Genomic DNA, 22,917 nt, shown 5'->3' with positions numbered 1-22,917 from the left:
GAAAATATTGTAAGTCAAAAATGCATTTAATACACCTAACTGCTCGAACAAGCTTAGACTCACCTATCTTAATTGTACTCAGATCGCTTAGTGTGGCTGACAGGGAGCTAAAGCTTGCTGCCACTGCCCAGCATTGCAAGAAAGCATCATTGTACCATAAATCTCTAGCCTAGGAAAAAAATCAGAATTTAAAATTCAAAGTACAGTTTCTACTGAATGTGTGTGGCTTTCACACCATTCTAAAGTGAAAAATGGTAAGTTGAACCATCGTAAGTTAGGGAACTTCTTTACTCAAAATCAAAGATTTTGTATTAAATGCTTTCTAATTCATGACAGGAAAAAGTTAATATTTTATACTAAAACTGAGAGATTTATTGCCTTATTTTAATTTTAAAAAATAGTTATATGTTTTACCTTTTAGTAGCTGGTACAGCTATTACCGAATGTAATACTGAGAATGTGGGCATGTAATATGATTATTGTAAGAGTTTAGATTTTTGCACCAAAATTAAATCCAAAGCTAATTTATAGAATATGTAAATACCTAATTACATCTAAAGCTATTTACATATTCTATAAATATGATATAAATCCTGAGTTTTGAATGACATGTATTGCAACAAAATGGGTATTAAATGTAAATAAACGCCAGTGATTTTTATTAAAGCCTCTAGAAAATCCAGACAATCTAGAAATTAGATATTTGGAGGATTTTCCATGTAAATTTTTTGGATATGCACTAAAGGTATTATAGCTGACGCATTTCCCCATTATCTTTCAAAAGTGTAATTTTATTCTAGTTTATATATACTAGTTTCAAAATATTCTTGACACTAAGATACTTGAATTTATATTTGCTTTACAAAATAAAGAATGGCTTTTGACCTAGCAGTCAAAAGAATTTTTCAGGCAAAACTTCAAGTGCTTCAACATATTTTGTTTTGTTCTTTGTTATTTATATTAAAATGTAGAAATCATGTAGAAGTTGAGGTATTTCCTTTTTATATCCCCATGGAAGAATAGGAAGCTTTCATATGCAGGGCTCAAATAAAATTGAAAATAAATTAGATTAAATACTATGTATGTAAATCAATATATTTGATTATAATATACGATGTATTTGTAGGTCAAAAAAAGCAATAAAATTATAAATTTTGAAGATTATACCTGGATTTAGCAATGTTGAGGCCCTGAATTAGATACAAATGAATCAATACATATGTTGTTACCCTTTTATCTAGAGGAGGAAAGTAAATAACAGTGAGAAAGTGAACAAGGGCAGAAAGCAGAAAAAGATAAAAAATGAAGCTGAAAAATAAAAGAAGCAATCGCTTTTCATCTAAAAGTACTGAGAAAACTGTCTTAGTCTGTTCAGGCTGCCCTATAACAAAATACCTTGGACTGGGTAATTTATCAACAACAGAAATTTATTGCTCACACTTCTGTAGGCTGGGAAGTCTAAATCAAGGTGGCGGCAGATTTGGTGTCCAGTGATGTTCTGTTCCTTATAGAGAGTGCCTTCTGTATATCCTCACATGGAAGGGTGGGCAAGCATGCTTCCTTAGGCCTCTTTTATAAGGGCACCGATTTCATCTGTACTGAATGAATGCAGGTATCTTTATTCAAAATTATTAGAAATTAATAGTAGTATGAATAATAATATAAAGCAGAATTGTTTTAACCCAAACAAAATTATATATATGTTCTTGTCATATAAATATGTATTAAAACATTGTGGTTGGACCAGACAGTGCTGAAATAAAACCATAATATATAATTTTGGAGTATTTTTTGGTCATTTCTATTTAAAATCAGGCCCTTCTCTCAGTAGTTGGCAATATGCACCAAGAGAAAATTAGTAGCTATTATAGACGAAATGTATGTGTCAGCCCATTATGTGTGTGTCTCCCCTGAATTCATATGTTGAAATCTAATCTATAATGTGATGCTATTTCGAGGTGGGGCCTTTGGGAGGTATGTAGGCCATGAGGGAAGATCCCTCATGAACGCAATTAGTACTCCTACAAGAAGAGTTTAGAGAGCTATCCAGCTGTCTTTCCACCATGTGAGGATACACAAAGAAGTTTGCATTCTGCACCCTGGAAGAAAGTCCTCACCAGAGCCATGCTGGCACCCCAATCTCAGACTTCCAGCCTCTAGAGCTATGAGAAATAAATTTCCCTCGTTTATAAGCCACCAGTCTATAGTACTTTTTTTATAGCAGGCAAACAGATTAAGACAGTAGCTAAAAACAGGAGCCTTTCAGGATTTTAGAATGTAAATTAGCATTGGTCTCAAATTGAAGGTAAACTAAAATACAGGAACCGATTATTTACCAGACAAGTGTAGAAATTATATTGCTATACAGAGTAAGATACTGTGAATGACTCTATAAACTCTGAAACGAGTAACCTTGGCTACAAATCATTGGTGAAATCAATGTAATCTAAAAACAAAAGGAACCACATAGGATTTTAAAAAATTAATTCAGGAGTTTTATTGTTTGCATAATTTTCTATAAGGTATCCCAAAAGTTTACTGCGGTTTTAAATTTTAGTAACCTTAAACTGCACTAAGAATCTTGGGACCTCTTATGTTTTACTTATTACATATTTTCTTGACTTGAAAACAAATAAATAATTGTATTTTGTCAGAAATAAAGATCTTTAGTAGAAAAAGAATTTTCTGTTACAGAACCAAGAAGTTAAGTAGGAACACAACACTGTTATAATTTGAGTGGAAATATCAATATAAAGCCATGCCTTACATACATATTTATCTAATAAAGTGTATTTTTGCCCTGATCTTTTTCACTAAAGTAGATGAAAAGCAATGCCATTCCCACAATCCACCCTAATAAGCAGATTTTATTCTCTACTGTACATTTTTGCTAGTAGGAACCAGGGATCCTTGGAGAAATGTCTAATTCCAAGTTTGGCACTGTAAGGCATAAGATAAGCAGAAATTTATTATATTAGAAAGCACTTAAGATAAACCTGATTTCAAAAAAGGGTACCAAGACAATTCAAGGTGGAAGGAATAATCTTTTCAACAAATGGTGCTAGAACATGCAATGGATATCATGCAAAAGAATGAAAATGAATCCCTGTCTCACATCATAGACAAAAATTAAGTCAAAATACATCATAGAACTGAATATAAGTGGTAAATTTACAAAACTCTTAGAAGATCACATAGGAATAAATCTTTGGGAACTTGAATGAAGCAATAGTTTCTTAGATATGACACCACATGCCTAAGTGATAGCAGAAAACACAGATAAATGGGACTTGATCAAAATGAAAAAGCTTTGTGCTTCAAAAGACACCATCAAAAAAGTGAAAACCCTCAGAATGTGAGAAAATATTTGCAAACCATGTATCTGATAAAGGTCTAGATACATAATGTATAAATAATTCTTACAACTCAACCATTAAAAGACAATAGCCCAAATTAAAAATGAGTAAGGAATTGAAATAGATACTTCTCCAAAGAAGGTATCAACATGGCCAAATGTCAATAAACTAATAAGGAATAGGCATGGAGTACTGGCTCACCTTCCTCTCCTCTGTCAGGCATCTTGCTTAAGGATGTATTTTGTAAAGGAGGTGTGGGGGATCAACAACCTTATTGGTTCCTTGATTTTCCAATATGGTTATTTCTCATTTTGTGTGTGACTCTGTCTATTATAATGCACGGAACTCAGTCCATAGATATCACTTAGCACCCACTGGAAGGTTAAGACTCTGCCCCTACCTGAAAATTGAGTGCATAGACTTTCTCAAGACAATATACTATTTTATTTTATTTTAGATTCAGGGGTACATGTACAGGTTTGTTACATAGGTATACTGCATAATAGAGGGGTTTCGGCTTCTAGTGTACTCATCACTCAAATGGTGACTATTGTACCCAATAGGTAATTTTTCATCCCTCACCCTCGCCAAACCTCCCCACTTTTGGAATCCCCAGGGTCTATTGTTTCCATCCTTATGTCCATGTGTACCCAGTGTTTAGCTCCCACTTATAAGCAAGAACATGTGGTATTTTATTTTCTGTTTCTTAGCTATTTCACTTAAAATAATAGCCTCCAGCTCATCCATGCTGCTGCAAAGGACGAAAAGGATTTTATTCTTTTTCATAGCGGCCAGTATACTGTTTTCATTCCCTAATTGTAGGATGCTTATTCTCTGGGTGGCCTTAGGCTTTTCCTGAATTTCTCTTCCACATATCACAGATATTCTCGAACGTCCAAAAATCCTGGAAGAGAAAAGGAGTTTACCCTGAATGAAGGCCACAGCAAAGTCTTGAGGAACTAAATGGAGAAGTGAAAATATATCCTCAGGTCTGCTGGTATGAACTGGAAACCCAGTGGACTAGTACAGACTGCAGGATTCATAAACAGGCTTTCTTGCTGTCGTTTGAGCCGGCTGCTGTGACTAGGAAGATCACCTTTCCCTGCCTCTCACATCATCCATTTCCTTCACATCACAGTCTTGGGAAAAGGTTTTATGGAATAGATGGATGGATGAATAGGTAGATAAAGTAAACACATAGATTTGTACATCCATAGGGAGAATGATAAGGAAATCCGCCTCTCGATAATCAAGGTGATAGAGGAGCTAGAAAGAAATTTAGGCAGATAGAGAGGGTAAAAGGAGTCCTCAGCAAGGCTTCCTTTTAACAAAAAGCAGAAACCATTTCTTTTCTAACAAAGAGCAGCCTGTAAAATTGAGCTGCAAACATAGATAAGCAAGCTGGAAGCTCGCCCTGGTAAATGCTGGCAGCTGTGCCAATAGAACAGGGCTACCTGGAAGCCAGGTATGTTCAACATGGAGGCTCCCTTTTGTCACCACGTATATAGTGAAGAACCAGGCAACATGATGCCAGCCAGGTAGGGAACCCATCTGCATAATAAAAGACTAGGGTGGGCCGGGTGCGGTGGCTCACGCCTGTAATCCCAGCACTTTGGGAGGCCGAGGCGGGCGGATCACGAGGTCAGGAGATCGAGACCATCCCGGCTAAAACGGTGAAACCCCATCTCTACTAAAAATACAAAAAATTAGCCGGGCGTGGTGGCGGGCGCCTGTAGTCCCAGCTACTTGGGAGGCTGAGGCAGGAGAATGGCGTGAACCCGGGAGGCGGAGCTTGCAGTGAGCCGAGATCCTGCCACTGCACTCCAGCCTGGGCGACAGAGCGAGACTCCGTCTCAAAAAAAAAAAAAAAAAAAAGACTAGGGTGGGGCGGCCAGCCTTTTCCCGCTCGATGCAAATGACACACCTGGTCCGACCAATCTTTTGTGCCCTATGTAAATCAGACACCGCCCCCTCAAACTCATTTATAAAACCTCTGCATTTCACCAAGGAACTGGTAATGCATTTTCTCCAGGACCCCTCTCTGGACCCCTCTCTCCTCTTCCTTTTGCTTGTTAAACAAACTTCTGCTCTGATCCTCACTCTGGTGTGTCGGCATCCTAATTTTCCACGGCCATGGGACAACGAACCTCGGGTATCACCTCAGACAAACGATGCTGCTTCAAAAGTACTTCTATTTATTTAGTTAAAACCCAATCAGAATTATTCTTAATATTTTACTCGAACAACCCTTATGACTGTTTCACAGACCTTCAATTTAATATTTCTTTTTTTTTTCTAAAATATACTGTGACTTCTCTGAATTTAAATGTATATTTGATTTCTTTTGAGATGTATATCGCCAGTTTTTTCTCTTGAAATAGACTTTTTTTCAGAGTAGATTCTCTGCTAAAAACTGAAGTAACCACTCCATTCCACTATAACCCCATAGGCAAAAATTATCATCCCCAGGTTCATACAGAAAATTGAAGTCTACAGAGGTTTTTTTTTCCATACGTTGTACAGTGGCCAAGCTGAGATTTCAACCCTGATATCACTTGCTCTGAAGCACCAGCTCTTTGTCATGTAACAAGAAAGGCTTTGAGATGGTGTGTGTGAGTGTGCACACATATGCATAAAAGGCCCTCCCTCCCCTATGAATCACAAAACAGCTACCAGAAGGAGTGAGGTTAAGGAGAATTTTGCATTGATTTACAAGCAAAAGAAAAACCATGAAATTGATGTGGCCCCAGTTTCTGGCTGGCATTTGTTATTCTCATGTCTTCCTTCATGCAGATCTTGAATGAACAATGAGGGCAGTATACCAATATTTCTGAAGGTGAGGCTTTTTTCCACAGCAACAGCCCTCATGAAATTGCAACCAATCACATCTGGGATGACGTAGCCATTCTAATATGTTTTATTTTCTCCCATGGCACTATCGTCATCTGACATTTTGGGTTGCACTTGTTTGCATGTCTGATTCTAGCTGGTATACAAGTAAGTTCCTAGAAATCAGAGGTATTCATTTGTATTTCTAGAGCATATCACAGTATCTGACACAGAGTAATGCTAGATAAATGCATTTGGATTCAAATTAAATGTTTATATCTCTTGAAACATGGCAGTAGATGGTGCATTGTATACATGACTCAAATGGAATCTTTTACACCTCTAGGCCTGGGAGGTCAGCTTTATGAAAAACTTCAAAATTTAAACAAGTGATAGTAATCCTTTTTTGTCCTTATCCATTTTCCTTCATGTTTGTTTTGCTCACCATTCCTTCCCATGGGAAGCTGCTGAATATAAACGTGTAAAATAGTTAAGAAAAAAAATCATAAACAAAATGAAACCAAATACAATGTATGGTTATTTACATAGGTTTTCTCAAGTCAACTAATAAATAATATAGACAATTTGAAATGAGTTCACATTGATAAGACTTGACATTCATCTTTTTTTCCAGCTGTCACCAACAGTGATCTACTTGTGCTTTATCAAGACCACATATAACTAGACTCAATATATTAATCCCATGATATTTAGGAGAAATGAAGAACAATCTTTGGTTGAATTACATGAGACAAATCAGTTCAAAAACAACAAGCTATTTAGGAACAAGTTTCTCCTGGGATTCTCATGCTGTAGTTTCTGAGCCAGTATCAGTGTATGTTCTCTATAATCCAATTTCTTTTAAAATGGCTTTCGGCTCCCTTTTTTGTGCACTATTGATGTTAAGCATGAAGGAATGCAAACACTTGCACCATCAAAAGCAAATAGCATCTTACCACCCGGAATGCCCTGGCATGAGTCCACGCAAACAAGATTTAACTCTTGAGAATGGCAGTGGGTAGATAGAATTAGTGGGTGGTCTTTCCAGAAAAATGGCTTATAAACTTTATTGAAATAGTAATTTAGTGCCTTGGTATCAGCAGTTGTCTGCCAGTTATTGGTATCTTAACTGTTATATTAAAACAAAATTCAAGACATTAAATAGATAATCTTAATGCAATGCTCACAATTTTTCAAATTATAATTTTGTTAAGCCAGGAAAATTTTGATAATTACTGACAATTTGCATTACTGACCTACCAACACTTTACTTTTTTGATATGGCTTACTTTGTAGTGTGACTCCTAGGCAAGAAATGCAGCTTGTTTGGCCCATATCATTCGAGGATATCTAACTGTATTTGTGGAATCTTCTATAAGTCCAGCCAAGACACTCATTGACTATTTTAAACATCTACCTGATAACAAATAAACTCACCAATTATAAGAACCACTACTATATCCTACATAGTCAATGCTCTACTCAAAATTGCTGTTTTATAAAGGCTTATTTTACTCATGATCTAAGGGCGAAAATAAAATGTTCTGGATTAGATTCTTTATAAATTTTGATGGTGAGTTATCTATTAGCCATACATTTTCCCACTTGCCAAACAATGTCATTTCTCTGTTTAAATCACACAAATTGCAGCAATGTTCACAGCAGACTAAGTCTGTCAAGTGATATGAAAGTAACAGGATAATTTCCAGCTTAAAAACACAAGCTATTTTGCATTTTTCTAACGTCATGTGATATATTTATGAAAAAAAAGCTTCTATTTTTCTTTATTTCTTATAACTATGCTAAACAACAAACCTTGTGTTATATTCTCGATCCTTTAATCACTTTTTGGCACAGAACACTCTACAGAGCTATTTAACGTAGCCCTAATTTCTCTCTCCCTGATGCCTGGAAAAGTAGAAGTTCCTCCAGTGGTTGTGTATCTCTCAAATCCCTCAGTCATTCCCAGTACAATGTGTCAGTCCCATTACTGATCACATCTTCCAGTCAGGCTCTGAATGAGAAGAATTCTTTGCAGATATTTCTTTGGCATAATGATTTCAATTCCTTTAAATATATACCCAGAAGTGGGATTGCTGGAACATATAGTAATTCTATTTTGACTTTTCTACAGAAACTCCACGCTTTTCAATAATGGCTATATTATTTTTCCTCCAACAGTGCACAATTGTTCCCTTTTCTCTACATCCTCACGGGTACTTGTTATCTTTCCTCTTTCATCTTTTTGATGACGGCCATTCTATCAGGTGTTAGGCAATATCTTTTTGCGGTTTTAAATTGCATTTCCCTGATGATTAGTGATGACTAGCATTTTTTCATGTTATCTGTTGGCCATGTGTATGTCTTTTTCTGAGATATGTTTATTTCAATCCTTTGCCCATTTTTAAATTGGGTTCTTTGCTTTCTAGTTATTGAGTTGTTTGAGTTCCTTATATATTCTGGATATTAGCCCCCTATCAGAGTATGGTTTACAAATATTTTCTCCCAGTCTGTGGGTTGGCTCTATTCAGTGTTGCCTTTGCTGTGCAGAAGCTTTAGAATTAAAAACAGCATGTCACAGTGATATCTGCATTCCCAAGTTCATTGCAGCATTATTCATAATAGCTAAGTTATGGAACCACTGCAGGTGTCCATCATTGGATCAATGCATAAACAAAATGTGGTATATATATACACAATGGAATACTATTTAGCCTTTAAAAAGAAGAAAATTCTGTCATTTGCAACAATGAACCTGGAGGATATTATGCTGAAATAAATAAGCAGGCACAGAAAGACAAATAGTGCACAATCTCACCTATATTTGAAATCTAAAAAAGTCAAACTCATAGAAGTAAAGAATAGAATGGTGGTTACCAGAGGCTGGGGGAAGGGGGACTAATGAAGAAAGAGAATATGTTGGTCAAAATGTACAAAATTTCAGTTAGACAGAAGGAATACATATGTTTCAGTGATCTATTGCACAAAACAGTGACTATAATAAATAATAATGCATTGTATATTTCAATAACTAAAAAAGTAGATTTTAAGTGTTTTTACCACAAAAAAAGTATGATTGGTGGTGGATTTGTTAACTTGCTTGATTTAATCATTCCATAAAATAAAAATATATCAAAACATCATATTGTACCCCATAAATATACAATATATACAATTATTATTTGTTATTTAAAACATTTTTTAAATTAAATTTTAAAAATTAAATTGTATTTAAAATTAATTTAAATTAAAATTTTTGCTCTTATTGCTTGATAAAAGCAATAAGGTTCTGGATATACCATATGCAAACTCACTTTCAGACACTGTGACAGTAGGGGTCAAAAGATGTGCTACCTTTCCTCACCCATCATAAGGGCCACAGATGACACTCCTATAACAAAAGACAAGGTAACAAGAGAAAAGCATAACAGATGTATTAACTAAAATTTTAAGTGACACAGGAGCCTCCAGGAATAGAGGCCTAAAGACCCAGGAAGAGGAATTCTGGTTTCTGTGTCTTGCTTCAAGGGAGAAAGAATGGCAGAAGACAGGAGGAGGAGACAAGGTCAGAGAGACATTGCTTCTGAGGTTCTACCAGTCTCCTTCAGTTCAAAGTACCCAACATGCCAAAGCGCCCTATTTAGGGTAGCATGATCTGAGTCCCTATAACCCTATGAGTAGTTTACAACCAGTGGAGTATTTGAAAAAAAGATTAAGGAAAATAAAAATCTGAAGAGTGGACTCCACTTTTTACATTAACTAGGTCGTTGATGGGCTCTTTGGAGAAACCCTCAACATCACTTGAGTCTTATTGATTCTATATCAAGACGGTTGATAATATCTTAGCATTATAGTATTGTTTCAATTTCACAACACATTCATTAAGCTCACTTATTAAGTTCTATGAGAAAATGATTTCTTGACCTTGAAACTCTTAAGAAACAACAACAACAACGAGAAACAAACAAACAAAAACATTGCCACTTCACACGTTTCACTGAACACAGAAATCCTGAAAGATGGACCAGAGATTTCTCCCTTAGCCAGGCAGAAGTCTTAGGCAGAGAGAAAACACTCAATGTCAGGAAAATGAGGCTCTTTTTTCCTTAATATCTTAGCATTTTAATGTGAGTTTCTCAAAAAGATGAGGAAAAAAAGCTCAAAGCATTTTAAAATGCTCAAGTATTTACACAGTAATTATTCCAGCATGCGAGAAAAAGAGAAAACTGTGTTGTTTCTAGTTATTGTATCCAGCCTTCCCACTCGCCCTTGGAAATTATCTCCAAGGCGATATGAACTCCGTTTCACAGCTAAAAACCCAGCTTTTAAGAGCTTTCCCTAAAATGACATACCAGGTAATTTAGAGTGTGGATGTCAGATCCCTTTTGTCACACTCCAAAGCAGATCGTCTTTCTATTCTACCTTTGTGTAAACTCTTGAAAGGTATTGGTAAGTAAAGTGACATAATTTAACACTAATTATCCTAAACTGTCTTACTCATCTGCACCACACTGTCTCCAATCCTGCAATATTTGGAATTAAATCCTGATTCCAAGGCTAAAATCCAATGTATGGTTTTGCTCTATGAATTCTGCATTCTCCTCTCATCTGCGTCTTCCCCACAAAATACAGATGCCCAAAAAGAAAGCAGTGGAGATGGGCATAGTTCTCTAATTGAAGCAGTCATTTCTCTACATGTTGGTCTGATCTACAGCACTGAATTTCTGACTGGCTCACTCTGTCTGGATTCTGAGGGATTACCTGGCTCTCAAGACTGCAGGCTGCTTGCCTTAAACTCATGCCCATAACCTGGCCCTCAGAGACATTAGAATGCTGTCTGTATCTTCTTGGCACTGGATCCTTCTCCCACTGGCCTGGCCAGCCTCTTTCACCTGCATTCTTCCAGACCTGATTCATTGCTTATCCTTGTTCTAGCTGAAGGAGTTTAGAACATGCCACCCCAAAATATGCTGTTTTGGTATACTTATTACTTTGAGCTGAAGGCACTAGAAAACAGCAAATGCAACAAGAGGCTTTCTTTGAACTTCCCTCATCCACCTAAAGACAGATTCTCCAAAAAGAACTTCATCATTACCATCAGTCACCTCCCTGGAAGTTTCATTAACCAAGGAAGATGAACTTTTATCACAGGAGAGGGAGACTAGGAATTGACACCATGCCCAGGTAAACTTTCTCACAAACTATCATTGATTATCCTAAAGACCCATTCTTCTTTCCCCAAAATCATTCCCTCTCCCCTAAGTTGCCTCCATTCCCCTTACCCTCTCCCCTATGAAGAGGGTATATAAGCTCCTAAATCTCACTGGGTTTTTGAGTATTTACTTTTCTTTCCTGTGATGCCACTTAGTTCATAATTAATTTGTAGACCTTTTCTCCTGTTAAACTGCCTGTTGTGAGTTTATTTCATAGATTCACTTACCAAATGTTTAGAAGGTAAAGGGAGAGTCTTCACTCCTTTACACAATGTTTCTACAATTCAGAGGTTACAAACGCCTCTAGACTTTAGACAGATAGTATAAATGAATGAAGCTAAGCAGACAGACCAAAGTGCACTGGAGCATGACTGCTGGCCTCAGAGTCTAGAGCAGGAGGAAGCTACTACTGTGAAGTATTTCCAGAATATAGACCCAGTGTTATCAGCTGCACTGATTTTTAAGAGAAGATAGATATCCTGATTTTTTTTTATGTGAAATTGGTAACTAATTGGTATGGTCTGAATGTTTGTGCCCCTCCCAAATTCATATGTTGAAACATAACCCCCTGTGTGGTAGTATAAGGAGGTAGGGATATTGGGAGGTGATTAGGTCACAAGGGTGGAACCCTCATGAATGGAATTAGTGCCCTTATAAAAAAGACCCCAGAAAGCTAGCTCACCCTCCCACCATGGGAGGACACCATGAGAAGACAGCCATCTATGAGGAAGCAGGTCCTCCCCAGACACTGAATCAGCCAGCACCTTGATCTTGGACTTCTCAGTCTCCTGAAGTGGGAGACATAAATACTTGTCATTTATAAGACACAGTTTTTGGTATTTCTGTGTTATTTTATAGCATCCCAAATAGACTAAGACACTAATCAAGTGGTATTTCAAAGCATTATGTGGACACACAATACAACCAGACATTCCCCACCGTGATTCTGTTTATGACTTCTGCCTCTGATAATTGCTCAGCCCTGCTTAGAAAGTATAATTCTCACAATTTTAAATGCCTTACTTGCAAAAAGAGAGGTGAGACAATGACATGGATTGGTGTTGGAGAATTAATGATGGAAAGCTTTGATAATCACATCAACGTATGACAAAAGTAATCTACCCAAAGTAGCAATGGGAGACAGTTCTCCATGTGTCTCTCATATTTAAAGACATTAACAGCCTTTTTTGCAGATCACCTGTTCAAGAATATTTGTATAGCATGGGGGTCCCCAACCCCCAGGCCATGAACCGGTACTGGTCTGTGGCCTGTTAGGAACCTCCTGGCACAGCAGGAGGTTAGCGGCAGGCAAGGGAGCATTACTACCTGAGCTCCGCCTCCTGTCAGATCAGCCATAGATTCTCACAGGGGCATGAACCCTATTGTGAGCCATGCATGAAGGGATCTAGGTTGCTTGCTCCTTATGAGAACCTAATGCCTGATGATCTGAAGTGGAACAGTTCTATCTCAAAATCCACCCTATCAACCATCCATGGAAAAATTGTCTTCCATGAAACCAGTCCCTGGTGCCAAAACGGTTGAAGACTGCTGATCTAACACACAGCCTTGGAGGATACAGATGGAGGCCCTCCCTGGAGCAACACACAGGAGTGCTAATGGTCTGTTATGGAATAGTCACATTTTCTAAGTTCAGTTTCCTCTTACATAATATAACCTTTTGCACTATTTGTGTTACTCTGAGAACTGTGGCTCAGGAAACCAGTGAAGATGCTAATACCCTGGTTATTGTTATTGCTGTAAGTAGTAAAGTCCTTGGTCTCTGACCCAGGTGTTTCATGAGTTTTCCTAGTATGCATAAAACAGTGGTAGACTAATATATAAAGCTCCAAATGGGAAAAAATCTCAGATTCTCTATAGTTCTCGACAACTGATACTTGTTTTTTCTTTAAATTCTAGCTATAGTAGCTGCTCTAAAATGAACAGTCTAGAATCTTCTTCCATACTGTTTACCACATTTATCTGAATCAATATATTTCTCCTTTGCTTTTGAAAGTACAACAATGCCTTATTCTCCATCAAAACAGTCATGAACTTTCATCATTTCAAACACCTAAATCTCTTTCTATCTCATTGTTTTTATCTATTTTAGGCCTCCATCTTCACCTTCAGACAATAACTTGGTGCTTACCAATAAAGCAGAATGACTAGTAGGTAGACTGTCAACCTATGCTGCCTGAGTTTCAAACTGTGTTTTTCTACCTATTGGTTGTATTACTCTGGACAAGTTATTCAATCAATACATGCCTCAGTTTTCTTATCTATAAAATGGGGATAGTAATAGTAATTAACTCCGAGAATGATCTGCAAATTAAATCAGTTTACACATTTCATGTCTTTAGACTAGTATGTGGTTTATAGTAAGAAAGTAATACATGCCACCAATGATTATTCCGTTGAATATTTTTTGAAAAATTCTGTTAAGTTCTGACTTTAAATGCAGGTTGTTTGTGATTTACAGTCTATATATTAGGAAGCTGAATGATAATTTAGGGCTAAAAATGTGCTTGGTCCTTTCACAGTTCAAATCCTCAATAGATTAGAAAAACATTTTTTATAAACTTTCTGTTTTGAAAAAACAAACACCTCATATCCCAGTCTTCTACAAATGACATGAACCAAGCATCGACCCCTCTCCAGTCAAAATGTAAATATACAACTGTACTACAAAGTTTAAAACAAAGTATCGTATAACTCTTCCACTGATGACTGTGTTCACTCAGGATGCTTAAATATTATCACATAAATATTAGAAGTTCTCTTCACAGCCCTACTAAAAAAAGTCAATCCACCAAATATTACTTGTCTGAAGCAATGTTTCCATTGCGGTTTTCACTATGCTATGCCATGCCATTTCTCTTAGTGGCCTCAGATAACATCCCCTGATTTTCTAAGAGCTGTCCTTTCTATTTTTCTAAGCCTGTGAAAATTAAAATAAAACTTCCAAAGGGGTAAAGCAAAAGAGAAAAAGCTACAAAAATCTGGTTTGATTTTCCTACGCTTTCCTCCCTCCCTATATCCAAGCAGCTAATCTCCTCTCAAACACTACAATAGAGCAGCTAGACATAAAGAAAAGGAGATAAAATTGGCCAGCCAGTACATTGTTCTTGCTAATCTGGACCATTTACATAAGGGTTAGAAGGCTTGTTTCATCATTTAAACAGGCTTAAAAGCCTCTTTGCAAATGAGATTTAGTTCCTACAAAGGAATGAATTCTAGCTATTTGGTGAGTTTCTGCTAGACCAGCACTGGGAGCTGACTTGGCAGTAACTACAAGCTACTTCTTTGGCCACATACAGTATATGCAAAGATTGCTTCCAGCTGCCAAAACTGAAAGTGTCAAGCTGATTAAATTCTTTCCAGGAGGTGAACAGGATAAGGGGCAGGTTAAGAGGTCAATAATATCAGATCTTAAACTGTACCTGGCCAAACTCTTCCTCTATGCAGGTGCTTTAAAAGTGGCTTTGAATGTTCAGAGCTGTTAAATTTTCTTTGAAAGAGAACGGAATGGTGGACAGTGAATGAAATTCAGAGACAGAAGACATAAAATAGTCTCAAGCTGTGAAGTGAAGACAATCTAAACTCTTTGATTCATTGTTGGTCTGAGTGGCACTGGGCACAGGATAAACTGCATAACTAACTCCCTTGCCAATATTAGCACAAAAGATCGCTGGAAGGAAAAGATGTTCTTAACACAGAAGAGTACAATCTTTGTATCAAAATCTTAGATTTTAAAAATCAAGATCATGTTTATATATACTATACCTATTATGTCTTTTACCTGGCACACCTTGAACAGATGTTCAGTGTGACCTTGGCCTGAGGCTCAGCAGGGTAAGTAGGACGGCCTTGGTTAAATTTGCTCCCAGAAGGTACCAGGGTTGTTACTCCCTCCATTCTTAAATCATTAAGATCCTCTGTAACAACACAAACAATTACAGAGAAAAAAATTAACTCTAGTGGAATTAAGGAGAAAAATTCATATTTTCAGGTATCTGCCATTAGTTTGTTAAGCAAAACAATATATATCCCCTTTGCAAAAATCTAACTACATATATCAATTATTTTTCAAATTATTTCTAGACGTAGTTGGAGACAAATTATGTGTGAAGATTTACAAGAGACAAAACGGTGACAGACTGAATATATGGAGAGTGGGCAGAGCACTTATGACCACAGACCACTGACACACAAACTCTGCCATACCCACTGGGGAAGCCAAACTATAACCTCTGCAGCAATCAGCCCTAAATGGTCAGGACTTGGTCAATGACTGCCAGCTCTCCTATATTTTTCCTTTGTTCTCAACTCAGAACCAACCACACAAAACCAAATATGTTTCAAAACCAATTGCATAAATCCTCCGTTTCTAACGAGTCTGCTTCCAGCTTCCCCATCAACAACCTCCAATCAAAATATAACTGATGTCTTCCCCTTTTTCACTCTCAATGTTTGCTTTCTACCTTCACCTGGGGAGGAAAACAGTAAACCTGAATAGTCATGCTCCAAAGGTTTACTGAAGCCCACTTCTATTTTTCCCAGGTCCTTAATCAAGAATGAAAAGAACTAAATTTTCTCTTGAGATTCAGCTCTGTTACAATATGTATATGATCTCCTACTTTTTCAGAGAACAAGGAAGCTTGTAAAAAGGATTCCAATTACTTGCTCTCAGCTTTAGCACTAAAGATACATAAAGTTTCAAAAGATAAATCATAATTTTTACAAAAATCTAATTCATTATTGAAGGCATAACATATGTGAGGAGGAAAATCACCATCTTCTGATGACTAAAGATCATAAAAACATCCTAGATACCTCAAAAAACAATCAGGAGGATTGCACGTTTTAATTGGATATTACAAATGAGTGTCAAATAAATTGTTCCTGGGATGGTGACAACTCAGTCTAAATCATGAACCGGCCTTCTGGAATCTGAAGAAGCCTTGTCAACAGGCTTCTTCCATAGGCATCCCAAGTGAAAGCCTTGTTGTCCACTTGTACATAAGCAAACTGGAAAAACACTTAGGGTTTTAACTCAACTTCATGGGAGTCATCAAAAACTTATCACCTTGACCTGGTTACCAAGGCTTATTCCCCTTGTTTAAGAGCCTAGGTGCCAATTCAAAACCTGGTGCTTCTGCAGAGCTAATTACAGGCTCCTCCCTCTTGATCTCATGATTCCTCATGCAATACAGCCATTACTACTCCCTCTGAACACACACTTTTCAGCCAGCATTAAACACTCATGAGAGTCTGTTACTCTCTTCCTCTCACATTACTGTTCACCACTAGAACACCCTATTTTTGCTACTCTCCTGCCCCTACCAGAAGAAGTGAACCCGTGATTTCCCTACCGCAGTTAGGAAACTTTCTGCACTTCAGTATTTTTAAGAACTGCCATTGAAAACCGTGACCCAATATTATTTGTTGCTGGATCATATTTCAGAACTTTAAACTAGAGGTTATCAAGCAGAGTATGCTACCACTAATTTGTGTGACTATGAAATATAGTCCTCTATTGGAGGTAAAATTAGTCCAGATGGCAGAAATATTGTACGTACTCAACTTCATGGGAGTCATCAAAAACTTGTCCAGTTTGTTAACTGGACAACGACCTCAGAGTAAATATATATACAGGTACAATTAAAAAAAAATACATGACTTTGGCGTGCTCTGAAAACAAAGGGTTTCCTAACTCTGCTAGAACCTCCATCAAACATAGAGAAGATGTTTAAAACACTTTTAGATATACTCCTGCTCCATACAGAGGTAGTTTATTATAAAGATTGAAGCTAATGAAAATATAAACAATACAGAAGCTAAAAGAAATGTTCTAATGGAATATTTTGCTAAAGAAGCAGCCTTAATCAAGGTTATGAACCTATCTAAAATTTTAGAGAATAAATCTCTAGAGTACTTATAAGACACCATTATAAAATATCAATATTTAGCCCCTAATTCTGAAAAAAAAAAAGAAAAAAAAAAGTTCTAGCTTTACTCAGATAATCTCTGGCATTTTTGGTGGCACCAGATGGCTTCAAATGAATACTAATTAAATTCCTCCATGAAATGACTCATCATGGTACAGATAAACTGGTTACAATCTTAAATCTTCAGAGTAGACAGCTGACTGGAGACTTTCAGAGGGAGATAATGACCTCAGAGAGTAGACAGCTTCTGCCCACCATATTGGATCAAGATCCCTGGTGTAACTGCTATTATGTTTTTTATCTACTTAATTACAGCCATTCTCATTTTCTAAAGACCCCTGGTAGTTACCTACCCACAATGACTCTTTTTCTCTTTCATTTTATTCTTATTAAAATTTCGGATCAGAGCATAATCACTTTCTAACACTAATCTTGGATTATCCTAAATAGTAACCTTCAAGCTCATTGATTGCTGGATATGCTATCCCTCATGAGACTACCATAATCAAAAACCCTTGGAAAATTTCGGTCTCATCAAATGAGACCACAGGGAATTAAAGCCAAAGCATTTCCACTTGAACTTACATGGATAAATCAACCTGCGATTTTGCTAGTGTCCCTTTCTCACAAAAAAACCCTATTATTATAATCTACTAATTAGAATCTATGTAATTCTAAATTTGAATTCAACAGCCTTCATAGGAGGATGAGCCAATTACTTGTCACCTGGAAGAGATTAATAGAGATTCACATGTGTAACCCAACTAATGAACAGCCTTGATCCAACCTCAGGTCATGAACAATTTCTTTTTTCTGGATCCCTGTGTGTTCCTACCAGATACTACTTTCCTTGCATCTAGATAGCTAGTCCTGCTTGCTTCATGCACACATACATCATGCACTTTAAAAATAGCATTAGAAATCTTACTGGTACACAGACACCCTAATTCTATAGATCATCAAGGCTGGAAATTTTAACTCTGATGCAAGCTCCTAAATGAGGCCTCCCTTTAATATTCAGGCACTCTACTTGGAGGAGTTACTGATTCATTGTTTATACAAACAACCAAAGCAGTTTCCAGCAATAGGAACCATGCAAACAGAAGACTATAAGACATGTATCACTAATGCTGGCAGAAACTATAAGTGATACTACTTCTACCCTAGATAGAATACAGATCCATCTCAACTGTTGGCAAGAGAGTTGAACAATCTCATTCTTCTGGATTTTCTTTTCACTAGTCATGGTGGTATATGTACCATTGCTGATACTTCTTGCTATACTTGGATCAGTGAAACAGGTAAGGTAGAAAAGTCTACATGTCAGCTTGACAAAAGGCTACTTGGTTCTCTAAGTTTGGTCCTCATGACCTGTGAGATTTGTTTTTCTAGCCTGGGTTGGACAATTCAAGTTCTTGGTTCTGAAGAACAAAGTCAGTCACGCCATTGGCTCTGAAGAACCAGGTCAATATTAAATTGACTTAAATTGTTTTTGTTTTTATCACAGTGTCCATGATGCTGGTACATTGAATTCCATGTGGAGGCTTAAATGCTTGTATGTGGCCACTCTCTCAGCAGATGATTGCAATGATGATGCAACAAAAAAGATGAAAAAGATCTTGTGATATGATTGACTAAGGATACAACAGAACAATCATCAAGTAGTGAAGCTCGGGATCTCTCACCTTACCTTTTGACTAACATCCTTTTGGCAAAAAAGAGAGTGACCAAAGGAAGGGAGATTGAATATACATGCAGACAATCATTTATTTTTTATTGAGACAGAGTCTCGCTCTGTCACCCAGGTAAGAGTGCAGTGGTGCGATCTCGGCTCACTGCAACCTCCTCCTCCCAGGTTCAAGCAATTCTCATGCCTCAGCCTCCTAAGTAGCTGGGATTACAAGCACATACCACGACACCTGGCTAATTTTTTGTATTTTTTTTTTTTTTTAGTAGAGGCAGGGTTTCACTGTGTTAGCTGGGATGTTCTCGATCTCCTGACCTTGTGATCTGCCCACCTTGCCCTCACAAAGTTCTGGGATTATAGGCGTGAGCCACTGCACCTGCCCAGATCATATGCAGCATTAGAACGTTGACCCACAGTCTCTGCAGCCATTGCCTCAAAACATTCAGGACTTCATCAATAAAGATCAGTTTCCCTCGTTTCACCCCTATTTCCAACTCAGAACCAACTGGAGAAAGCCAAATGCACTCCCAAAACCAATTGCATAAGATAGTTTCTAGTCAGCCCTTCTTCAGTTTTCCCATGCCAACAACTTCCAATCAGAACATATTCAAAGCCTTCCCTTTAAAAATTATTATTATAAAGTTTTCCTACTCCCCCCGCATGCCTTTGGGTCTCTGGTAAATGCAAGTGATAGTGGCTAACTCCCGTTCTATAACCAGCTCTGAATAAATAGATAAATATTCTCTGCTTGTTTTCATTTGTGTAGTCTTCATTTATTTCCACAATGGCAACCTTCAAATATCTAAAGGTTTGTCATAGAGAAGAGATATTAGAGTTCCCCCTGTGCCTGCAGAGAAGAAATGTGCATAAGAGGAGAGTGTGTTTCTCATCAATATAACAACCTTTTAACATTTATAGTTGCTCAAAGGCATACTGTACAGTGCTGTGTAGGAGATGTGATTACCCCATTCCTGGAAATGTTAAAAGCAGAGGCTAAATAATTGTTTATAGTGGGCAAATTAGAGTTTTGCAGAAGCATTGTACTAAATGGCTTAATCCAAATCTAAGTTTCCCATACCTTCTCATCATACTTCTATGATTTAGGGTACATCTGTTAAAAAGAATATGTTGATTATGTAAAAGAAGAATGTTTGTTTAAATGAAGCAATCACCTTTTGGGGGCCATTTTGTTATGAATTAGAACTAAAAGTTGCTTTCTCTTTTTTTATCTTGGAGCCACAAAGCACACCACACTGACTTATTAATGTCTTTCATACTGATATGAAGAAATTGTGTGGTTAATTCTGGGCTAGGGAGCCCAGACATGCTGGCCCCTCATTACCTTTGAGGATATGTTCAAAGGCCAAAATCTTCAACTATCTACTTGCTTCTGTACCATTTTTCAACTAATAAGACACAGAATCCTGGTATGGAGTGCCATGGCAATTATCTAAGCATTTTTAGATTGTTTGACATATGTAAAGAAGGTAATAAGACATGAATTTTATGACTGCATTTTGATGAACAGTAAAAACTCCCTGCCAGAACTCTCCTTTCATGTGCAAATTTGAGTGTATTTAATGAGAATTTTTGAGGATTTCCTAGCAGATCCTCACACCCCATCTGGATAGCACCTCTTTTTTCCAGTTCAGAATAACTATCACAGTGTGGGAGAACAGAGAACCCTAGAGTCAGAAGCCTTCTGGAATTCATTTGCTGGTTCACTGGAGACTTCAGAGTGCTGTAAGCTGAAACTGCTTCAACAACTGCTATGGTTCTTGTAGTGTCAGATGTGACTGTGGTGATGGCAGTGAAATTGGCTCCTGCAGTCTTAGAAGAGGCCTCACTCTGAAAAGTATCCATTCACTTTTTCTTTCTTTACAAATACTCATTATTTTAAAGAAGATCAATGAGCTCCTAATAACTACTGAATACTTACCAAGCTCTAAAAGGTGACAGAACCATAAAAAATTTGGTTTGGTCATGGAAGGATACTAATAATCTATGCTAAATATACAAAGAACAAAAATAAAATAAAATACAATCTAGGTCTCACTAGTTCCATTTCCTTGACAACATTATTTAAGGGAGCAGGTGTCTAGGATTAAGTAATTAAGAAAAGTAAAACCCCAAAAATGCCTAAACCGAGGAAAATTTGGAAAGTTTATGATAATAGAAAGGGAGAAAAACAAATTAAGTAATTTAAGTAAGATTCTGTCTAAGGACTTTTCAATACTGCATAAGTCGAGGGAGGAAATACCAGGAACATATCCTAGATGTAGAAAACTGAGAATCTTTGAATACCAATGGTATTGAAGGAGGTAAAAATATGCCATTCTGGCATGTTGACTATTTTGAGTTAAAGGCATTTGAAATACAGCAGGTGCAAGAAAATTACTCTGACCTTCATTCTATTTCTTAAAAACACAAAAAATGAAATTCCAATGTGAAAGATGCCCACTTATGCCACAAGAAAAGCAACATTCTTATCATCAAGGACAAAAAAATTGAGACAGAGAGAATTCTGTACAGATCTTTAAAAATATCTCAACCTGTAAGCCTTCCCATATTATTTATTAGATTCTTCACAATTTACCATTCTTTGTCTGATTCAGTATATAAGTGATTGCCTCTGTTTTTTGGATCTTCATTTCCTTTTGAGGGCTCCCATGCCATGTAAAACTGTATTAAGTATTAAATAAATTCATAGGATTTTCTTCTGTTAATTTCTATTGTGTCAATTTAATTCTCAGGCTCAGCCAAAAACCAAAAAACAAAACCAAACAAAAATAAAAAAAAAAAACTCCTACAAGGGAAAAGGTAAAGTACTGCCTCTCCTATAGTATCAGAACCTTTCTGTCTTTTCTTCCTTCTTTTTTCTTTCTTCCTCTCTTTTTTCTACTCTTTCTTTCTTCCTTCCTATTTTGGGACTTCTTTCCTAAGATATTCTCCAAAATATTCTCTACAATATCCAGCCCAGTGCCATAGATATGGGAGATATACCATCTTTGGTTGCAAGTAGATAAAAATTTAGTTTGTTAAGAAGAAATTTGGTAAGCTGGAAATTTCTTAGAAGCAATTAGGAATAGTTTCCACAACAAAGAAATTTGTGATTCTTAAGATAACAGTGGTAAAGAAGGATAATATAAAAATCAACCGATGGGAATTTTAAAAAATATACTTGCCCTATTTTGATGCTTTGAAATTGAACTGTCTAGTAAGTGAGAGAAGAATGTTAAGAAGATAGATAACAAAATATTATGTGATCAACCCCATCCCAGAAGAAAAATAAATGTTTTAACTCTTATAAGAAATACATAAGAAAGCAACTGAGGTTGGGGGGAAAATGCCAGATATTGTTTTTTGGCACTTGGCCCTATTCTTACTAGCTTCCGTGCTCCCCTCTATTGGAGAGGCTAGAAAACTAAGAATTGCATTGATTATATTCTTTTACTATCTAGTTCGTCACATAAGTTTTAGGATTTGTCAAGCAGCTGCAGTAACTAGAAGATTTAACAGGTAGAAAAGAGGTAGAAACACTCATTTTCCTCTAGCAGCAACTCCAATTGGGTGGGCTGTGTAGGTACAAGGGCTGTTGGTTGATTATTTTTTAAAACTCTCTGTACTTCTATTAATATTACAGAAGATTTATGAAATCTGAAGCCATTTCCTGCAGTTTTCTAACTTCTGGGTAGCAATAGCCAATACCTGCACTGCTGTAGCAGAGGTTCTCCTTGAGGGCTCTGACCTGCAGCAGATTTCTGCTTGGACATTCAGACATCTCCATACATTCTCTGAAATCTAGATGGAGGCTCCCAAAGCTGAACTCTCGTCTTTTGCACAGCAGCAGGCCCAACACCACGTGGAAGCTGTAAGACTTGGGG

At 37.0% G+C, this 22,917-nt stretch overlaps 1 protein-coding gene across 10 annotated transcripts in view, besides 1 other annotated feature; it reads right to left on the bottom strand.

The window, feature by feature from the left end:
- The window catches only part of C8orf34 (chromosome 8 open reading frame 34), a 488,651-nt gene that overhangs the window by 163,315 nt on the left and 302,419 nt on the right, over window positions 1–22,917 (bottom strand). For 7 of the 10 annotated variants that reach the window (NR_146187.1, XM_047421328.1, NM_001349477.1 and 4 more), the window contains one exon: window positions 15,198–15,333. The exons of 1 other annotated variant lie outside the window; for it this stretch is intronic. Coding sequence is in view for 8 of the 9 variants with exons in the window: in XM_047421328.1 (XP_047277284.1) it covers window positions 15,198–15,333 (136 nt within the window). In the remaining variant the exon portion in view is untranslated. Of the gene's footprint in view, window positions 1–15,181; window positions 15,334–22,917 lie in introns of all 10 variants that reach the window. 2 more of the 10 variants (NM_001349476.1, XM_011517449.3) reach the window with 2 other exon arrangements.
- Window positions 14,115–15,100: an enhancer, noted in NCBI's record as "OCT4-NANOG hESC enhancer chr8:69552844-69553829 (GRCh37/hg19 assembly coordinates)". NCBI's record gives its function as "activates a minimal SCP1, AML or CMV promoter by ChIP-STARR-seq in naive H9 embryonic stem cells {active_cell/tissue: H9 hESC(naive)}" and the evidence as "EXISTENCE:reporter gene assay evidence [ECO:0000049][PMID:30033119]".

The sequence above is a fragment of the Homo sapiens genome, chromosome 8, assembly GCF_000001405.40.
Source record: "Homo sapiens chromosome 8, GRCh38.p14 Primary Assembly".
Taxonomy (NCBI): Eukaryota; Metazoa; Chordata; class Mammalia; order Primates; family Hominidae; genus Homo; species Homo sapiens.
Note: the sequence above shows the minus strand (reverse complement) of the source record. Positions and strands in the feature narration are given on the sequence as shown.